The sequence below is a fragment of the Homo sapiens genome, chromosome X (assembly GCF_000001405.40).
Source record: "Homo sapiens chromosome X, GRCh38.p14 Primary Assembly".
In the NCBI taxonomy this organism is placed as follows: domain Eukaryota; kingdom Metazoa; phylum Chordata; class Mammalia; order Primates; family Hominidae; genus Homo; species Homo sapiens.
The window spans coordinates 22,380,291-22,401,310 of NC_000023.11; the positions used below are offsets into that span (position 1 = coordinate 22,380,291).

A 21,020-nucleotide genomic window follows, 5' to 3' on the forward strand; every position below is an offset into this window, starting at 1 on the left:
CCATTACCTCACACAGTTACTTTTTTTGTGGTAAAAATACTTAAGATTTACTCTCTTAACAGTTCAAGTATAGAATACATTATTATTACTTACAGTCCAGGCTGTACATTAGGTCTCCAGAACTTATTTATCTTAACTACAAGTTGGCATGTATGCTGATGAGAGATACTGGTCTGTAGTCTTCCTTTCTTGCAGTGTCATCTTGTTTTAGTATTAGGGTGAAGGTACCCTGATAGAATGAGTTAGGAAGTGTTCCTTTCTGCTCTTCCGCTTTCTGGGAGAGATTGTGGAGTATTGGTATCATTTTTTCCTTAAATGTTTGATAGAATTTACCAGTGAAACTATCTGGGCTTGATAATTTCCTTTTTTGTAAGGCTATTTTATTGATTTGTTTTTTTTTTAATTGATAATCTTAAGAGTTCTATATCTATTTCTTTTTGTGTAAGTTTTAGTAGTTTGCATCTTTCAAGAAATTAGTCCATTTCATCTAAATCATCAAATTTGTGGACATAGAGTTGTTCAGAATACCATATTCCTATAGTATCTTTTCATATTCATGGAACAGTAGAGATGACCCTTCTTTCATTTTTAATATTGATAATTTCTCTCTTTCTCTATTAGCTTGGTTAGGGTTTTGTTAATTTTACTGATTTTTTAAAAAATAAATCGCTTTTGGTCTGTTAATTTTCTCTATTGTTTACCTGTTTTCAATTTCATTGATTTAGGCTCTAATTTTTATTTCTTTTCTTCTGCTTGATTTAGGCTTAAATTGTTCTTATTTCTCTAGTTTCCTAAGGTGGAAACTTAGGTAACTGATTTTTCAACCTTTATTTTTTTCTATTATATGCATTTAATGCTATAAATTTCCCTCTAAGCATTGCTTTTGCTGCATTCGACAAATTTTGACAAGTTTTAGTTTCATTTTCTTTTAGTTCAAAATATTTTAAACTTTTTTGATACTTCTTTAAGTCGTGTGGTCTTTACAAGTGTGTTAATTTATAAATATTTGGGAATTTTCCAGCCATCTTTGTGTTATTAGTTTCTAGTTCAATTTCACTGCTGTCTGAGAACATATTTTTTATAATTTTTACTCTTTTAAATTTGTTAAGGTATGTTTTATGGTACAGGAGGTGGTCTGCCTTGGTGCATGTTCCATGCAAAATGGAGAAGAATGTGTATTCTGCTGCTGTTGGATGGAGTCCTTCATAAATGTCAATTACATTAAGTTGATTGATAGTGCCATTCAGGTCAACTGCATGCAGCCTTAACTGATTTTCTGCCTGCTTCATCTAACAATTACTGATAGGGGTGACAGGGGATGAAGTCTCCAACTATAATAGTGGATTCCTCATTTCATCCTTTTAGTTCTATCTGTTTTTGTTTCATGTATCTTTAGAGGCATTCATGTTTAGGGATGCTATGTCTTCTTAGAGAACTGACCCTTTTATTATTATGTAATGTCTCCTTTATCCCTGATAAATTTCCTTGCTCTGAAATCTGCTTTGTCTGAAATTAATAAAGCTACTTCAACTTTCTTTTGATTAGTGGTAGCATGGTATATTTTCTCTATCACTTTACTTTTAACCTATCAGTCCTCACATTTAAAGTGATGTTCTTGTAGACAATATATAATTAGGTCTTGTTTTGCAGCCACTATGACAATCACTGTCTTTTAATTGCTGTATTTAGACCATTCACATTTAAAGTAATTATTAATATATTTGGGTTAATATCAACCATGCTTGTAACTTTTTTCTTATATATTACCGGAAGCTTCCTTTTCTGTCTTTCCTGGTTTCAGTTGAGCATTTTATTTCATTCAGCTTTTATGTCTTCTTTTAGCATAGAAATTATACTTATTTAAAAAAGCTTTTTAGTGGTTGCCCTGAAGTTTACAAAATATATTTTAAACTAATGTAGGTCCACCTTCAGACAACATTACTGCATTTCATGTGTAGTGCAGGTACCTGATAACAGTGTATTCCCAACTTCTTCCTCCCTTCCCTTGGGACACTGTTTATCCATATGCTATAATCATATAATACATTGTTCCTATTGTTACTTGTTACATATAACAAGTATATAACTGTATATAATAATTAAGAAAAATAAAATATTTTATTTTACATTCATTCATTCCTTCTCTGACGTAGATCCTTTCTTTATGTAGGTCCAAGCGTCTGACTTTTACAGTTGTCTTTCTGCCTGAAGAAAATCTTTTAACATTTCTTGCAGGGCAGTTCTGCTAGCAATGAGTTATCTCACTTGTTTGTCTGAGAAACAGACATTTGACGAATAATTTTTATATAGAATACCAAGTTGGTGATTTTTGTCTTTCAGTACTTTAAATATTTCACTCTACTCTTTTTTTTTTTTTTTTTTTTTTTGAGACGGAGTCTTGCTCTGTCGCCCAGGCCGGAATGCAGTGGCACGATCTCGGCTCACTGCAAGCTCCGCCTCCCGGGTTCACGCCATTCTCCTGCCTCCGCCTCCCGAGGAGCTGGGACTACAAGCGCCCATCACCACGCCCGGCTAATTTTTTGTATTTTTAGTAGAGACGGGGTTTCACCATGTTAGCCAGGATGGTCTCGATCTCCTGACCTCGTGATCCGCCTGCCTCGGCCTCCCAAAGTGCTGGGATTACAGGCGTGAGACACTGCACCCGGCCTACTCTTTTTTTTGTCCGAGAAACATTCACGAATAATTTCTTTCTATATAGAATACCAGGTTGGTGATTTTTGTCTTTCAGCACTTTACATATTTCACTCTAGTCTCTTGCATGGTTTCTGATTAAAAGTCAGATGTAATTCATATTCTCATTCCTCTACAGGTAAGGTGTTTTTATTCTCTGGCTTCTTTTAAGATTTTTCTCTTTGTGATTTTCTGCAGTTTGAATATGACATGCCTAGGTATATTTTTTGGGATTTATTATGGTTGGCATTCTCTGAGCTTCCTGGATGTGGTTTGCTGTCTGTCATTCATTTTTGAAAGTTCTCAGTCATTATTACTTCAAAAATTTCTCCTGCTCTGTTCTCTCTTTTTTTTTTTTTTTCCTCTTTTTGGTATTCCAATTGCACATGTTATATCTTCTGAAATTGTCCCCCAGTTCTTAAATGTTAAGTTTTTTTCATTGCCTTTTTCCTCTTTACATTTTAGGGTTTTTTTTTTTTTTTTAATTAACTTACCTTTAGACTCATTGATTCTTTCCTTAACTATTGAATCTACTGATGAGTCCACTGAAGGCATTCTTCATTAGTGTTAAAGTGCTTCTGATTTCTAGTATTTCCTTTTGATTCTTTCTTAGAGTTTCCATATCTCTGCTTACTTTACTCATGTGTTCTTGTATGTTGTCTATTTTTTCCATTAGAGCCCTTATCATATTATTTATTGTAATTTTATATGCCCTGTCTGTTAAGTCCAACATCTGTGTCACACCTGAATCTGGTTCTGATGCTTGCTTTGTCTCTTGAGACTTTTTTTTTTTCTTTGCCTTCTGGCATGGCTTATATCTTTTAATTGAAAGTTAGACATGTACTGCGTAATAGGAACTAAGGTAAATATGCCTATGGTGTGAGGTTTATGTTAATCGGGCTAGGAGTTGGGCTTTGTTTTATGTTTGCTGTAGCTATAGGTACCAGAGGCTTCAAATTCCCAAAGTACTTCTTCTTAGAGAAGATCCATGTCTTTCAGTTCTTTCAGCTGTAATATCCTCTTGTTATACTGGAGCCCCGTTGGTATGATGAGAAACTGTGGAGGCGGTGAAGCATTCTACAACCTTCCAATTAAGTCTCAGCCTTTTACCTGACTTGCATCTTTGACCTGTGATCACCGAGAATCAAAAGGGAAGTGTTTCTTCTTGTATAGTTTCTCCCCTCCCAATTAGGTGAGGAACGCTAGAGGGGGCTATGGTGAGATCTCTGGGACAAGGCTCTGGTAAAGTACTTTCCTCTGAAGACAAGGCCTTTGCTATGGAGAAGGTTCTGGACATATTTTACCAAGATTATCCGTCTACTCTCCCTACCTAAGCCACAAGGGTACCTTTGTTGACTCTTCGCGGTGAGAACCTAGTGGGGATCCTGGAGATAAAGTCAATGAAAATATGGTGGCCCCAAGGAGTTTCTCAGTCTCAAGCCAGTCTACACTCAGCCTCCAGAAACTTGTCAAAATTACTAAGTGTTCCTACCAGTTTATGGCTCCAGTGACTTCTATTTTAGGTAAGCAGATTGTGTCCGTGACTCCGGATTTGCCTGTTACCAGATTTCAGCATGGTGATTTGACTTGCAAATTTAGTTCTCTGATAAGTCCAAAACAACTTGTTGAGTTTTAGCTTATCCAGCTTTTGCTTGCTATAAGAATGGGAGTGACAATTTCTAAGCTCTTTACATGTCTGAGCTGTAACCGGGAATCACAGTGATTTTTGAAGATAAGATTACACAACTTTTTATAACACCTCGGAATGGTAGTTATTATTCTCTTTATTTTACACATAAACCAGTGGGGCTTTAGTGAAATTGTGTGTCCAAGACCATTTGTCTGCAAGTCTAAATGGTTCTAAATCCTATGCACCTTAGTTTCTTTGAAAATAGCTAAAAACGGCCGGGCGCGGTGGCTCACGCCTGTAATCCCAGCACTTTGGGAGGCCGAGGCAGGCGGATCACGAGGTCAGGAGATCCAGACCATCCTGGCTAACACGGTGAAACCCCGTCTCTACTAAAAATACAAAAAACTTAGCCGGGCGTGGTGGCGGGCGCCCGTAGTCCCAGCTACTCGGGAGGCTGAGGCAGGAGAATGGCGTGAACCCGGGAGGCGGAGCTTACAGTGAGCCGAGATTGCGCCACTGCACTCCAGCCTGGGCGACAGAGCCAGACTCCGTCTCAAAAAAAAAAAAAAAAAGAAAGAAAATAGCTAAAAACACTATCAATATTTTCATGTGTACAGATGTTTATACACTGAAATATTTCTTGCTTTCAAGTTTGTGCCTACATTTTGAGACCCTCAGAGGCGGGGGGGCAGTGCGGTTGAGTAATAGTACAGGGCAATTTATTATCATTAGTTCAGGCAATTAATTTATCAGTTTATTCCTTTTTCCTCCACTCTGCTCTCCCATTGCCCCTTTCCTAGCCTCTACCAGGGACAATCATTGGAAAATCTTCAATAAGTATCTTATTTTATTTCATTTCGTTTTAAAGATCTTATTTTTAGAGCAGTTTTAGGTTCATAGCAAAATTGAGAGGAAGGTACAGAGAATTTCCATCTACCCCCAACATCCACACACACGCATACATAGAGTCCCGAATTATCAACATCCCCTACCACAGCGGTATATTTGTTACAACTGATGAACGTACTGGTTAATGTTTATTTTTTACTGCAATAGGCTCTTGCAAAATGTGTCTTGTATTATGTGCATGTGTTTTTAATGCGCATAATTGCTATTTTCTTTTCTTTCTTATTTTTTTTGTAAGACAGGGTCTCGCTTTGTCACCCAGGCTGGAGTGTAGTGGTGCAAACATGGTTCACTGCAGCCTCGACCTCTTTTCTTATTATCTATTTCATTCAGGTTATTTTTTATTCCTAGCACTGTGCTTTTAAAATACATCTATACTGCTCTGTGTATGCATCGTTGGTTCAAACTACTGCATAGTACTTCAGCTTTATTATTTCTACAGAAATATTACATATTCATTGTAGAACCACTAAGGGCCAAAAAGTGAGAACTAGAAAATAATGATCACTAGAAATTGTATCATGAGAGAACCATAGTTGTTATTTTGGTGAACCTCCTGTAAGATACCTCTTTGCACTTATGTATAAATGCATTAAATGTATTCAATTTTACTTACATAGGACTGCCCTGCACATGTTATTTTTTGACTGGCCCCTCTCATTCATCACTATTTCATGGATAACATCTCATGCAACAAATATAGATCCACAACATGGCTTTTAAAGATCGCTCAGTACTCTGTTGTATGGTTGCACCACACTTAAATAGTTCCATTTCTGGGCATTTTGCTTACATTTATTTTTATTTATTATTATAAACAGTGCCTGCCTCAGCAAACAGCCTTCTGCAGATACCTTCTCCCACTTGTGCAATTATCTCTTCAAAGTTGAATACTTTTTGCCCACCACATGAGTTGAGCTGGGTTTCGTGCCATCCACAAAATTCATGCTTTTTCTACTGCTTTATGTTGCCCAAAGACTCAAGGACTGAAGTGGCTTCAGCTATTAAATTCTGTGAGTTTATACGTGTATGAACATTGGCAGTGGGGGAAGAAGTCACAAAACAAAGAGGCCCTCTTTTCAGCTCTGCTCCAGTAAGCAGGACCTTTTTCACTTTGTGGCAGAATAAATGCAAATAAATCGGCTGTCAGAAATTAGTAGTTTATATAATTTGATTAAAATTAGAGTTCAACACTAACTTTGATGGAATCAGATTCTCTTCTAAGTATTGTTGATCTTGACATGAAATGTGCCAGAATTATTTACAGGAACATTATTCTCCCAGTATTTACAACTCAGAAAGATGTATGCCAAGAATCCTCTTTGGTGTATCTGTTTTCCCAAGATATTTTGGGCCGAGATTTGAAAACTCAAAAAATCTAGACACATATGTTTGGGTGCATGTTCTTAAATAAACCAAATGTTTCCTTGTTTCAATTTTTAACATGTTTGGTTTTCCTATATAGTTTATGGAAATCTAATTCAGAGTTCTGATAAATCAATGTTTTTTTTGGGACGGGTGGGAAACAACGCTTCTGTTTAATGCCTTAGCAAAGAGCCTTCTGACTGTTTAAACAAAAACTGCCTTGCTTCTATGTTGCCCAAAGACTCAAGGGCTAAAGTGGCCTCCACTATTAAATTCTGTGTGTTTATTATAGAGAATTTTTTTTGATCATGGTGGGGGTGAGCATGAGATGTTGAAATAAAAACAGCTCCTTACCTGTAACTAAGGTGTAAGTGAGAAAAGCATTTTGTTATGGCGATTTGCTGTAGGCTTTTATTAGCCAATTTGACTTCCAATATTACATGGAAATAATTAAGCTTCAATTTTTTAAAAGAGTCAATTAAATATTTTAGTGTTATTACTACTCTAGAATAAACTAATTAACAGTTGGAACACTACTGATTTTGCTATTTACTACAATAGTTTATTTTTCTCCTGGGTCCACGTGATGAAGTTATGTTTATGCTGTTATTATGGGACTCAAACTGGACCAGCATCATTTTTCCTCCTCTCCTCCCTCCCTCTTCTTAGGTGACTGCTCCACTTCCCCACTATGATCAGGCCTGCTTGGGGAGGTCTTCTGCTCCCATCGTAGACTGAGCTTCTGCTCAGCTCAGAGGTAACTTGGGGGAAGGAGATTTACCCTTCCAGTGGGAAGCTTCTTGAGTCAAAGTTGCATAATCTGCATAATGATCACTCTTCTTTTTGATCACAAACATTAGCCTTGCTCTTTCAGTTTGGTAGTTTTCCTCCATCAAGGGCCTTATACCACCTTCCTCTGGGACTGGGTTGCCATGGTTATGGGTGTGTCAGAACTCCATCACACCCTAATCCAAGTAAGGCAGGATATATGTTCTCTGCTGTTCCTGTATCAGGGCCAGTTTCCTACATCCCTGCTGGAGAGTTCCTCACCATGATATCCCTGGAACAGGCCAATAGTTCTCAAATCCTCTTCATGACTAGGGGGTTAAAATTCTCTAGGACCTTGGGCAGGTTACTTAGCCTCTGTGTGCCTCAGTTTCTTAGTTTGTATAACGGAGATAATGAAAGCAAACACCTCAAGGGGTTGCTGTGAGGATTAACTAAGTTCATATTTGTAAAGCACTTAGAGCAGTGCCTTGGTGGTAGGAAGGAGCATATGAAGGGTTAGAATTAGACATACCACTAAAATTCTGAGATCTCAGAATTATCAAAGCTGGAATTCTGTTCTATGGTCACACCCCACTGTGACCTTGATTGCTTAAGCATAACTAATACATTTTATTCTAAAATATCCCTATTTTGGAACACTAATTTGATCACCTATAAGGGTCTTTTAAATGGATATATAAAAGGGACTGTATATTAAAATTAGGAATACGTAAATACAATATATTCTGTACTTATACATTTGTACAATATATTCTGTAAAAATTTTGCCATTTGATTGTCAAGATAAATTTATTTAAAAGTTATTGGTCAGTGTGTTTCTAAGAGTCTTGAAGATCTCATGGGCTAGAATATAGTTTCATTCATGCACACATGTACCCACAAACATCAAATTGTTCCTATCTCTTAGAGAACATTTTCTGTAGATCCCCATGTACTATTTTGTATTTTCCTGTGTTTTCCAGTCATTAGTTCAACAAATAATCTGATGTGAAAAACATGCTGTGCCAATAAAATATTCTCAAACCCCCAACAAACCATTATGATAGTCTTATGTTATTTATTATCTTCCAGTTCTGGAGGCCATAGGGCTGTGTTCCTTTTTGGAGGCTTTTGAGGAGAATCTGTTTCCTTGCCTTTTCTAACTTCTAGAAGCCTCCTTCATTCCTTGCCCCACGACTTCCTTCCTCTGTCATCAAAGCCAGCAGCATAGCATCTTCAAATCTCTCTCTGACTCTTCTGCCTCCTTCTTTCCTTTATAAGGACCCTTGTGATTACATTGGCCCAAGCAGATAATCCAGGGTAATGTTTCCAGTTCAAGATGCTTAACTTAATCACACTTGCGAAGTCCCTTTTGTAATGTAAGGTTACATGTTCACAGCTTCAGGGGATTAAGACATGGACATCCTTGGAGGGGTACATTATTGTGCCTACCACAGATTTGCTCCTGAGTAAGACCTTGAATAGCATCCAGGCATTTGGCTCTCCCTACCTGACTTTTGTATGTGTTTGCAGACAGGAACTGTGATAAATTCCTACCAGTTATTACGGTCCCTTTCTTTCCCTCTCCTCACAAGTCTTTCCATACATTTAAAACAGGTCAGATAGCTGTTAGTGTTTATTTAAATGATGAATCTACTCTGGAGTGTTGTGGGAAAGTATTTAGTGAGGAAGACACCCCCACTCTTTGTGTCTGTCCTTGACAGCTGCATAAAGAGAATAAAACGTGACTCTTAAAGTACATCAGTAAAGAATTACATGATGCCAAACGATGACATGGGTCTTTGAAGCCATTTGAGAAAACGGATATGATTTGGTCCTTATGATTTTTCCTGGGGGAAATGTGAAAGTCTGAATTAGCAAATTCAAAGGGAGCCAGAGAGAGATCTTGAGGACAAGGCCAGTGGCTTCCCAGGTTCTGCATTTCCAGCCCTGAGCAGGGTGTTTGGCATGTCAGAGACGATTACTAAATGATTAGTGGATAAATGACTTACCAAAAGTATCCAAGGAACAGCTTAAGCCCTGGGAAAGATCTGGCCTTTGAAATGTGACCTGCAAAACAAAAATAATGGGTTTAATATCCTCAGGAAAGAGTACACCATCACATTCAGTTTTGTTTCTAACTGCTGACTCACACAGCCATTCCTCACTGATTACTGCTCCGTTGATGTAAAAGAAAACAAACCCCTGGTATCACTCTCCTCTGTCCTTATTTGAAAGATGAAATAGCACAACTGCTTCTCTGTTTATTTTGCTCACACATTACTATTGTTTAAATCACAATTTTCAAATTCATTTCTAGCTTAGTGGATTGATTTTTTATTACTCGTGCTGAGCAGTTGACAGTAATGATTTATTACATCTCTGGGATTTTGGCAGCTCCTTACCACTCATGGTTTAATTCACAGTTTTCCCTGATGGCTTTAGTGTCTGTGGTGTTTGCTCCTATAAAGTGATGCACCACTGGGAGATGTGTACTTCTGGCCCTGCACTCTGGCCCCGGTTTTCTTTTCTCCTTGCTCCGTGACTGTGTTGACTGGAAGGGGAGAGCACATTCATGAACGGGGGAAACCTGATGTTTTCTCCTGTCCTAAGACCTGCAGCTATTGTAGCTTTGTGCTACGTGCTGGAGGCTGGTCCGTTTGAAAGAGGCCAAGGGTGGAGCTGAGAGAGAAGGGTAAATGCACACATCTTAGGGAGATGGGCTACTTTTTAGGCTTCATAACAATGACAACAAATATAGCAACCCACTGTGCCAGCCACGAGGCATGTATTAGTACAGGCATTGGCAAATTATATCCTGTGGGCCAAATTTGGGCTACTACCTGTTTATGTAAATAAAGTTTTATTGGAACACAGCCACATCCGTTCATTTACCTAATGTCTATGGCTGCCTTCGTGCTGCAATGGCAGAGCTGAGTAGTTGCAGAGAGACTGTATGACCTATAAAGCCAAAATTATAAGCCCTTTTCAGAAAATATTTTCTGACCCTTAATCTTCATGAAATGACATAGGCTTTGGTAATATCAACACCAGTTTACAGAAGAGGAAATAGATACACTGAGATGATAAATAAAATGCCCAAAGTCTTACAGCTAGTATGAGGTGCAGAGACTGCGTCAGAAGCCAGCAGGTCTATGACATACTGCCTCGGATAGTTACTCAGAGAATGCAGTAATTGCTAAACCTGCCACATTACCGTGTCTGTCCTATTTCTTTAAATCCTCACAGGGTTTGGCTTTATGAAATCTTTCCAGACAATTGTCCATTGTCTAATGGCTTTGTGGGACTTTTAATTTTTTTAATTAAACATTTGTGGGATTTTTAACTTTTTAAAACTCAGAACTACCTAGTAATCGTTTGAATCATTTGTGTAGACTAGCAGTTCTTACCCTCAGCTACACAGTGGCGTCACTTGAGGAACTCTAAAGGTACTGCCACTAGGTCCCATTGCTTCCATGTCATGATTTCATTGGTTTGGGATACGGTCTGGGTATGATGCTTTTTCAAAAGCATCGAGAGATTCTGTTGTACAGCCAGAATTGAGAACTACTAGAACAGACAATCGTAAGTCTCACCCTAAAAGATATGAGAAGTCTTTCCTAGTGAGTCAACAATCAATACAAAACGAAGGAAGAGGCCGGGTGTGGTGGCTCACGCCTGTAATCCCAGCACTTTGGGAGGCTGAGGCAGGTGGATCACTTGAGGCCAGGAGTTCGAGACCAGCCTGGGCAACATGGTGAAACCCCACCTCTACTTAAAATACAAAAATTAGCCAGGCATGGTGGCACATGCCTGTACTCCCAACTACTCAGGAGGTTGAGGCATGAGAATCACTTGAGCCCGGGAGGCAGAGGTTGCAGTGAGCCAAAATTGCACCACTGCACTTCAGCCTGGGCACGACAGGGTAAGATTCCATCTGGGGGAAAAAAAAAAAAAAAGAAAGAAAGAAAAAAAAGGAAGGAAGAAAAAAGGGACAAATAACTCATTAGAAACAGGGGCCCATTGTAAACATGTTATGAGTTGGTGAGCCCAATGCAAGAAATATTCCCCAGTGCTAAGGATAAAAAGAAATAAACTGAATAAAATATATAATAAAAAGAGATGTTAAGGCTGCAGTGAACCATGTTTGCACCACTGCACTCCAGCCTAGGTGACAAAGCGAGACTCTGTCTCAAAAAAAAAAAAAAAAAAAAAAAGACCAAGAAAATAGCAATTATGCAAATTAAAAACACATGCACACAATACAAGACACATTTTGTGAGGATAAGGAAAATTGTGTTACTTTCTAGACTTAATCTTCTTATTTGGGCATAATTATACTGACTTTTTTTGCTTAGGGTGAGAGGAGACACTCATAATTGGAAAGAAAGAGTGGAAAAATTGAACATTTAAAAACTGCAGTCTATTTCTTCTACAAGATGTATACTTTGAATTTCTCTCTGTTTTAACCTTTACTGAAGGGCAAATTAAATCAGGGCTGATTTAGATTCAAAGAGTTTGTTAACTGACGCCTGCCTCAGGGAATGACATCATAATTATTACCAGCAAATATTGAGTAAGCCCTCACGGGGGACTCTGTGGCACTCTGCTAGTTCTTCGTCTCTCGGAAAGTGCACCTTCACTGCAGTGCCTAGAAAAACATAATCTCAGCTGAAATTCCAAATAAATACCTCACTCCTCAGATTCTTTCCACCGTTTCTATTTGCACTGATGATAGAGCCAATGTTGTTAAAACAGCGTGAGACTGAACATTTTACCCATGAGCCGAGTTCCACAAGCTGTCTGTACCGGCTGGTGCATCATTCCCGTAAGAAGAGTGAAATTATTAAACATCACAGAGAGGTTTACAAGATTTTTCTGAACTATCAAAGGTCATGTGTGTTTTCTTGGAGACTTCAAGAGAGAAGTGGGGTAGGTACATAAAATATCTGAGACATTGAGCAGGTTTATGTCTGTGCAAAAGTGGCTCCCTGTTTTCCTTTCTTAGGCATGACTGTCAAAGGAGCACAAGCATTTCTCTGTGCTGTGGCTAGGGGAAAGGAAATGTATGTTTAAGACTTGGAACATGGGAGATTTATGGGATGTTAATGTGTCAAGTCTTAGTAACCTCTCAAGAAGGCCACTTGTGAAGTCAGACTGTCATCAGTCACAGAAACCAATGCATCTGTCTTCGGAGAAATTCCTCAGAAATGTCTTCCAGAAAGATTATGAAAGATGAAGCATCTCAATACAGTGAAAAGGTATTCTATAAATGTGAATTTTTGCTGCTTCTGGCAAGTTCTGAGCATTCCCTCAACTGAGAAATGACAAAATGATACATGCATAGAATCTATTGAAGAAAATACTGAAACCGATTAAAGGCAGCTATACAAGGATCAATTGCATATTTGTGAAACTTACCCATCAAAATGTGGCTATACAAAGTGCATTTAAAACACACTCACACAATAGCATGATACAGACTTGCACTCAGCTAAAATTAGATAATGCTTCCTAACGTCAACGCAGAAAAGCAACCTGACTATTGTAGAATATGAAAGTGCTTTAATGATGACATCACAGGCAAGTCCATACATATGTGAATGCAAAAGGATATAACAAAATGTTCAGTCTAATGGTAACTGGGGATCTGGGACATTGGCATGTTTTGCATGTCAGGCATAATCAATATTTAAGGTTGGGACATGTTTTCTTCTTGTACGGACATAGTAAATGAAATAGATATCTCAGCTCATATGGGCTGCTTTCACTGAATCCAACAACCTATGACCAACAATTTTATAAACAACAGAATAAAAACCCAGAGAAAGTAGAGAGCAAATCTGCTGCTGCTGACCATCTGTTGCTTGATCAGATTCCTTTAACATCAGCAGGAAGTTGTCATTTTGACAGTCACTGACATTTCCCCATTAAGCCTAATGTGCATAATAGGCCTGAACAATATATATCTGCATGGCATATGAGAAAAATAGGCACATAGACCAATGGGACAGAATAGACAACCCAGAAATAAACCCAAATACCTACAGACAACTGTTCTTCCACAAAGCAAACAAAAACATAAAGTGGGTAAAGGACGCTCTATTCAACACATGGTGCTGGGATAATTGGCAAGACACATGTAGAAGAATGAAACTGGATCCTCATCTCTCACCTTATATAAAAATCAACTCAAGATGGGTCAAAGACTTAAATCTGAGACCTGAAACCATTAAGATTCTAGAAGATAACATTGGGAAAACCCTTCTAGACATTGGCTTAGGCAAAGACTTCGTGACCAAGAACCCAAAAGCAAATGCAACAAAAACAAAGATAAATAGATGAGACTTAATTAAACTCAAAAGCTTCTGTGCAGCAAAAGAAACAATCAGCAGGCTGGGCACAGTGGCTCACACCTGTAATCCCAGCACTTTGGGAGGCAAAGGCAGGCGGATCACCTCAAGTCAGGAGTTTGAGACCAGCCTGGCCAACATGGCAAAAACCCCTCTCTACTAAAAATACAAAAATTAGCCAGGCATGATGGTGGGCACCTGTAATCCCAGCTACTCGGGAAGCTGAGGCAGGAGAATCGCTTGAACCACGGAGGTAGAGGGGGCAGTGAGCCAAGATTGCACCATTGCAGTCCAGCCTGGGCGACAGAGCAAGACTCTGTCTCAAACAAACAAAAAATCAACAGAGTAAACAACCCACAGAGTCGGAGAAAATCTTCTCAATCTATATCTCCAACAAAGGACTAATATCTAGACTCTACAAGGAACTCAAACAAATCAGCAAGAAAAAACCAATCCCATCAAAAGGTGGGCTAAGGACATGAACAGACAAATCTCAAAACAAGATATACAAATGGCCAACAAACATATGAAAAAAATGTTCAACACAACTAATGATCAGGGAAATGCAAATCAAAACCACAATATGATACCACCTTACTCCCACAAGAATGGCCATAATCAAAAAAATCAAAAAGTGATAGACGTTGGCAGGGATATAGTGAAAAGGAAACACTTTTACACCGGTGGTGGGAATGTAAACTAGTACAACCACTGTGGAAAACCGTGTGGAGATTCCTTAAAGAACTAAAAGTAGATCTACCATTTGATCCAGCAATCCCACTACTGGGTATCTACCCAGAGGAAAAGAAGTCATTATACAAAAAAGATACTTGCACATGCATGTTTATAACAGCACAATTTGCAATTGCAAAAATATGGAACCAGCCCAAATGCCTATCAATCAATGAGTGGATAAAGAAATTGTGGTATGTATATATACCATGGGACACTACTCAGCTATAAGAAGGAAGAAAATAATGGCATTTGCAGCAACGTGAATGGAATTGGAGACTATCATTCTAAGTGAAGTCACTCAGGAATGCAAAACCAAACATCGTTATGTTCTCACTCAAGTGGGAGCTAAGCTATGAGGATGCAAAGGCATAGAATGATACAATGAAATTTGAGGATGTGTGGGAAAGTGTGGGAGGAGAGTGAGAGATAAAAGACTACACGTTGGGTACAGTGTACACTGCTCAGGTGATGGGTGCACCAAAATCTCAGAAATCACCACTAAAGAACTTATTCATGAGACCAAACACCACCTGTCACCCGTGCCCCCCCCCAAAAAAAATATATATATATAGAAAGAAAGAAGGAAAGAAGGGAGGGAGGGAGGGAGGGAAGGAGAAAGAAAGAAAGGAAAGAAAGAAAAGAAAGAAAGAAAAAGAAAGAAAGAAAGAAAGAAAGAGCAAGAAAGAAAGAAAAGAAAGAAAAGAAAAAGGCATTTATAAAGGGAGAATCAAGATTAGGAACTAAAATGACGACAAAAATTTGAACAGCCCTCGCACTGTGTGTCCTATTTTCCCTCCAATCTATATAGCAGTCCGTATTAGTCACCACTTGAGCTCTAGTGTTTAAGGTCCAGTTAATTCTCTCTGACTCACTTAGAGAAGGAAGTGTTAGTTCATGCAGCATATCATTACATGATAGAAAAAGGTAGTAATGTATGAACTAAAAGGACTATGATGGCGATATTTAATTTCCTTTGTCCATTCATTCTACAAAATGTTTAGTACCTACTGTGTGTTACATTGAGGTCTCATTGCTGAATACACAGTGTTAACAAACTACTATTCTCACAGGGAGTACAGTCCAGTAGGGAGACAGCTGTTAAAGGCATGGTCCCCCAAATATACTAAGAATTACAAATTGTGATGAGCTTTATGTAGGAAAAGAGCATGATGTGATGAGTGGGATCAACAAGAGGTCATAAGTCAGATTGCAAGGTCTGGGAAGGCCTCTTTCAGGAATATTTAAACTGAAACCTGAAGGAAAATTGAAAAATTTGCCAGGGAAAGAGTGCTTGTCAAAGCTGTGCTGAGGCTTGCTCAACTCTGTCACAGCTACCCTCTCGTGAATGGCTAAACTCTTTCTATTGGTGAGATCTACCACTGCAAGGTCAAGTTGTGACAACTGAGTCTCCTAGCATATATTTGTTTTTACTACTTGGTGCCTCTGTTTATTGAATCACACTGTGCTGCATGCTGCTGGGAGAATACTATGATGTCTTCCTGAAGATAAAAATGCTGACTTAGAGCAGTGGCTTCCAAATCTATTAGAGAGCAAGATGATACTGCAATATGTATGCATATTTAGTTTTAATCTAAAAGATAATTAATCTTTATTAATATTTATGAATTGGCATAGTATGTGTAGACAATTTGTAAATAAATCTACGTCATCTGGGGATATGTCGATATTTTTACTGATAGGTGTGCACAATCAAGTTTGGAGATCACTTGCTTAAAGTAAGCAAAGGATAGCCAGGGATCACTGCACAGAGTAAGCAGAGCCCAAACTCTCCAATCCCACTCTCACATTTTCATTAGGGCATCTCTTTCATAGCCTAGCTTAGATTCCTCTCTCGTAACCAGAGAAACTACCTTCTCTGATAACACTGATTCATCCTCAGATTTTTCATATCCCTGACAGCTTATAGCACTCCCTGTCTGATTCAAATATTTTGCTATGTTAGTAATACTGCCTTATATTGCTTTCTGGTGTTTTCATCTGCAGTGATCCTGTCTTTCAAAGAAGATCTAAGTTGTTCTGGTGCTAGATTGAAATCCAGCTCACTTTTATCTGTCCGTAGTGCTGAGAAAATAAAAGGTACTCGGTGAGCACTTCTGGACTACATCTCCTAGGACCGTGCCATTCAAAGTGTGACCAAAAGTCCAGCAGCATCAGCATCACTTGGAAGCTTGTTAAAGCACATCAAAATTTGCACTGTTCTCCCTCTCTTTCTTCCACAATTCTCCCATTTCTCCTAAAGGCCCATCATATTAAACCAGTGCCTCTTAAACTTTAATGTGCATGAATTATCTGGGGGGAATCCTGTTAAAATGAAGATTCTGATTCAGTAGGTCTAGACGAGACCCAAGATTCTGTATTTTAATAAGTTCCCAGGTTATTCTGGTGATTGTGAATGGTGCTTACACCTTTAGATTTCAGGCTCTAAAACTATGCTGCCTGATATGGTAGCCCTAGCCACATGGAGGGATTGAGCACATGACACACGGGATTTCAAAGACTAAGTGTGGAAGAAAGAATATAAAATATCTCATTAATAAGTTTAAATATTGATTATATGTTGCATGGATAATATTTTGAATACATTGGGTTAAATAAAACATAGTATCACATTTAATTTCATCTGTTTCTTTTTACATTGTTAATCGAAGCTACTAGAAAATCTAAAATTATATATGTGGTCACATTATATTTTTATTGGACAATGTGGCTGTAGACACTCCTCTGGTACTCTTAAATACGAATATATGAAGGTAGTGTTATCTATTGAGAATCTATTGAGAATTCTTTGAGCATGAATCTCAAATTCATGCTGCTAAAGTTGCACCAGTTTAGGGATAGCTGAAAAAAACTGTAATTATACATCACAAAAATATCCTTAGAAAGATTTTCTTTCTCATGGAAGTATATACACTATAAATACAACTTCTATTACTCAAAATATTGAGATTTTTGTCAACATTTCAGATTTCTGTGTGTATATGTGATTCATAATGTAGGCCTCCTCCTACATGGATGAATATACATATAAGCATTAGATTAGTCATCTGTAATTAACTTCTTGACAAATATGGATAATGGGTGAGAAAGAATGCTATTATATCCAAAGTGTAACGTAATTGTTCCATAGTTCTTGATATTATGCTCTATTTTTTCAGTCTTTTTTCTGCTTGCATTTCAGTTTTAGAAGTTTCTATTGACATATCATCAAACTCACTGATTTTTTTCTTGGCTGTGTCCAGTCTACTGATGAGCCCATCAAAGGCATTATTTATTTATATTACAGTGTTTTTGATTTCTAGTATTTTTAAATTTTTTCTTAGAATGTCCATCTCTGTTTATATTACTCAAGTGTTCTTGAATGTGGTCTACTTTTTCCATTGGAGTCCTTTCATGTTAATCATAGTTATTAAACCCTCGATTTTCCTTATGGGTAGGTGTAGGAACAGCAGTGGCTCCAGAGTTGCTAAAGAGAGGGTCATCTGATCAGAAGAGAATGGGTAGAGACTTATTTTAAAATTGTATTAGCATTGCAAGCCCATTGGTTTTTACTTGTATTGGAGCTGGATGAAATAGTGGGTAAAATAAGACATAAAATATGAATAGGAGGCAGCTAGGCAGGGAAGGGGGAAGAGTATTTGCTAAGTACATGTTTTGATTATCTATTACCATATAACAAACCTCACCTCCCCAATATTCCGTGGTACAAAACAACACTCTTCTATTTACAGTTATGGATTCTATGGGTCAGGAATTGGGGCAGGGCATTATAGGGAGAATGTTATATTTTTCTAAAATGTCTGGGTTTTCATCAGGAAAGACTCAACTGGCTTAAGAACTGGTGGCTGGAATCATCTGGTAGATTCTTGCCTTACATATCTGTGATGACTCAATGGCTGGGCTCAGCAGGACTGTTGAATAGAGATCTTACAAATGGCTTCTTCATGTGGCTTGTACTTCCCAGAGAAAAGTGACTGGGGTTCCAAGAGAGAACATCCAAGAGAGAGCATCCCAAGAAAGAGCATTCAGTGAGTGATCATTTCACAAATTTAAGGAAGAAACTGCAAGGCTTCCTCTGATCTACCCTTGGAAGTCACATAGCATTACTTCATCTACTTCTATTATTGGAAGAAAGTCACTAAAGACAGCCCATATTCAAGGTGGGAATTAGATTCCATCCCTCAATGGGGTAGTGGCAAGGTCATATATCAGAAGAATGTGTAGGATGGAAGATGTTGTAGCCATCTTTGGAAAATTCAGCCCATCACATCATACTAACAGAGTGTGGTGTGTTTGGGTAACAGAAAGTTAATTCTGACTGGAGCATAATGTCACCCTGAAAGACTTTATTTTACACTTACTTTTCCAGGGGCTATATTCTAGGGAACGACATTCCTTTGATTCTATAATAGGCAACCTGGTGTATTAGAGAGTTCATGGGCTGTGGAATTAAAAAAAAAAAAACCCCTGGGTTAACTTACTTTATTTTCTGTATTCATTGCACAACTATTTATTGTTCCTTCAAATGTTGTTTTTAACATATTTATGCAGAGAATAACAACGAGCTTATGGGTTGCATTCAATCCTTGGCTTGACTGGAGTCCATTATCCTTTAGTAAAAACACCTAGTGGAGAGAGGTACATTTGTGTCTACAGTTAGAAAAAAGGTAAAAGTGTTTTGAAAATCTTTGGTAACAATGGAGTAAAAAGCCCAAAGTTGATGACAGTGATCTAGGCAAGGCTGGGCCTCTTTAGGTATTCATCTTACTTGGTGTGTTCCTCTTACTTTTCTCTTGGTGTGTGTTTCTTCACATCTTTTTATGTCAGTTATATGTAAATGGTTGTGTTTGAGTCTTTACAAAGGTTTCTATGTATTTCTATGAGTCATTTTGTGGGTGTGTCCCTCATATGCTCTGTGGCAGATTGAATTTTCTAAGATGACCAAAAAATATCTCCCATCCTGCACACTTATCTACAATGTAATGTTTGCGTTTCTTCCACGGAGAGATGAGGTTTATGGTCCCTTTTTTCAAATCTTAATGGACTTGTTACTATGGTAAAAGTGATATTATATGACTTTTTAAGCTACGTTATTAAAGGTGATATGCCCATCTGGCCTTCTTGGGGCATGTGCTCTTGGGAGCCAGTCACAATGCTGTGAAGAATCCCAGCTCACGTGGAGAGGTCATGTGTAAGGGTTCCAGCTGATAGCCAGCATCAACAACCAGACATGTGAGTGAGCAAGACTTCAGATGATTCCAGCCCCCAGCTACTGAGTCATCATCATACTTTGAACTTTCCCAAGCAACAGTGAATAGAGGAGAGATGAGTTGTCCTTGCTGAGCCCTTCCCAAACTGCAAATTCATGAGTAAAATAAATGATTGCAGTTGATCTGTACCACTACATTTTGGCATGATTTGTTGTGCAGAAGTAGATGACATACATTTTCTGATTCTCTCTGTATGCCTTTCTCCATCTTGATCCCTGTATTTTATTGTCTAACTCTTTTCCATCTATATCTCTGATCCTTTTTTCTTCTTCTTCCTGCCTGTCTTTAGTTCTCTAATTTCTCTTATAATTTCTTGCCTTTTATTTCTTAACCTGCTGTAATATACAAGAGAGATAGAATTTTATATTTGGATAGTATTTTGTGCTCCCTTTTGCTAATTTTTAAAGCACAGGAGTGGAATATGTAATCTTCATTTCATTCTAAAACACAATAAAAATAAAGTTACTGCTTCTAACGAAAGCTTTTATTTTTTTGCCTTCTGAGTGTCCATGGCCCTCACAGGAATATTCTCTATCCTGCCTCTGGTGCTTCAGAACGGATGAATGTGTGGATAATGATTTCCTGGTGAATATAGTTTTCATTTTTATAACTTTATTTTTCAGCCCTTGAAAAATGGTATTAATATACTATGGTGGTGTTGTATTTCTTAAAAATATGTTGCTGAACTCTTCCTTTCTAATTCTGATAGACTAAAAAACCTGCCCTTTGGAAAGTGAAGGAGATAAATATTTTCTTTCAATGGTTCTTGAGGTAAGTAAGTTCTCCTAGCCCTAGGATAAAGGCTGAAGGATACAACTTCAGAGAGCTTGTAATAAGGCAGCCTCTGACCTGAAATCTGGAGGGCTGAGTTGAGAATATTTCGAGTCCTTCCCATGTGTGATGTTTTGGAATTTCTTATTTTCATGTCTTTATATTACCATCAGTTTTGCAAAAACTATTCAAATGCAAAACTCAAATATGTCACCATATTCATTTTACTCCTTTATATGAAAAATCAATTACTTTCTACCTGATTCTTTACTTTTAATTCTATACCATGCAACCATGTACCTTTTTATAATAATCCATCCTCTAGAGTAGAAGCCAGTATCACTGCTGAATGGTCTCCACGACCCGGACACATCCCAGGCATTCATCACATTTGTGAATCCTACTTCCTAAATATCTCTCCCTCCTACTTTTGTTGGAGGTATCATGGTGTAGTAATGAAAATAACAAGGCTTTTGGGACCAGTTAGCCTTGGGCTTAGTCTTGGGTCTAACA

At 38.0% G+C, this 21,020-nt stretch overlaps 1 long non-coding RNA gene across 1 annotated transcript in view, besides 1 other annotated feature; it reads right to left on the reverse strand.

The window, feature by feature from the left end:
* PTCHD1-AS (PTCHD1 and PHEX antisense RNA) overlaps positions 1-21,020 on the reverse strand; it is a 1,100,142-nt gene that overhangs the window by 187,286 nt on the left and 891,836 nt on the right. The window contains exon 5 of the long non-coding RNA NR_073010.2: positions 9,373-9,430. This is a non-coding gene — a long non-coding RNA (PTCHD1 and PHEX antisense RNA). The remainder of the gene's footprint in view (positions 1-9,372; positions 9,431-21,020) is intronic.
* Positions 19,330-20,529: an enhancer, noted in NCBI's record as "CDK7 strongly-dependent group 2 enhancer chrX:22417737-22418936 (GRCh37/hg19 assembly coordinates)". NCBI's record gives its function as "activates an origin of replication core promoter dependent on BRD2, BRD4, P300/CBP, MED14 and CDK7 cofactors, with strong dependence on CDK7, by STARR-seq in HCT116 cells {active_cell/tissue: HCT116}" and the evidence as "EXISTENCE:reporter gene assay evidence [ECO:0000049][PMID:35650434]".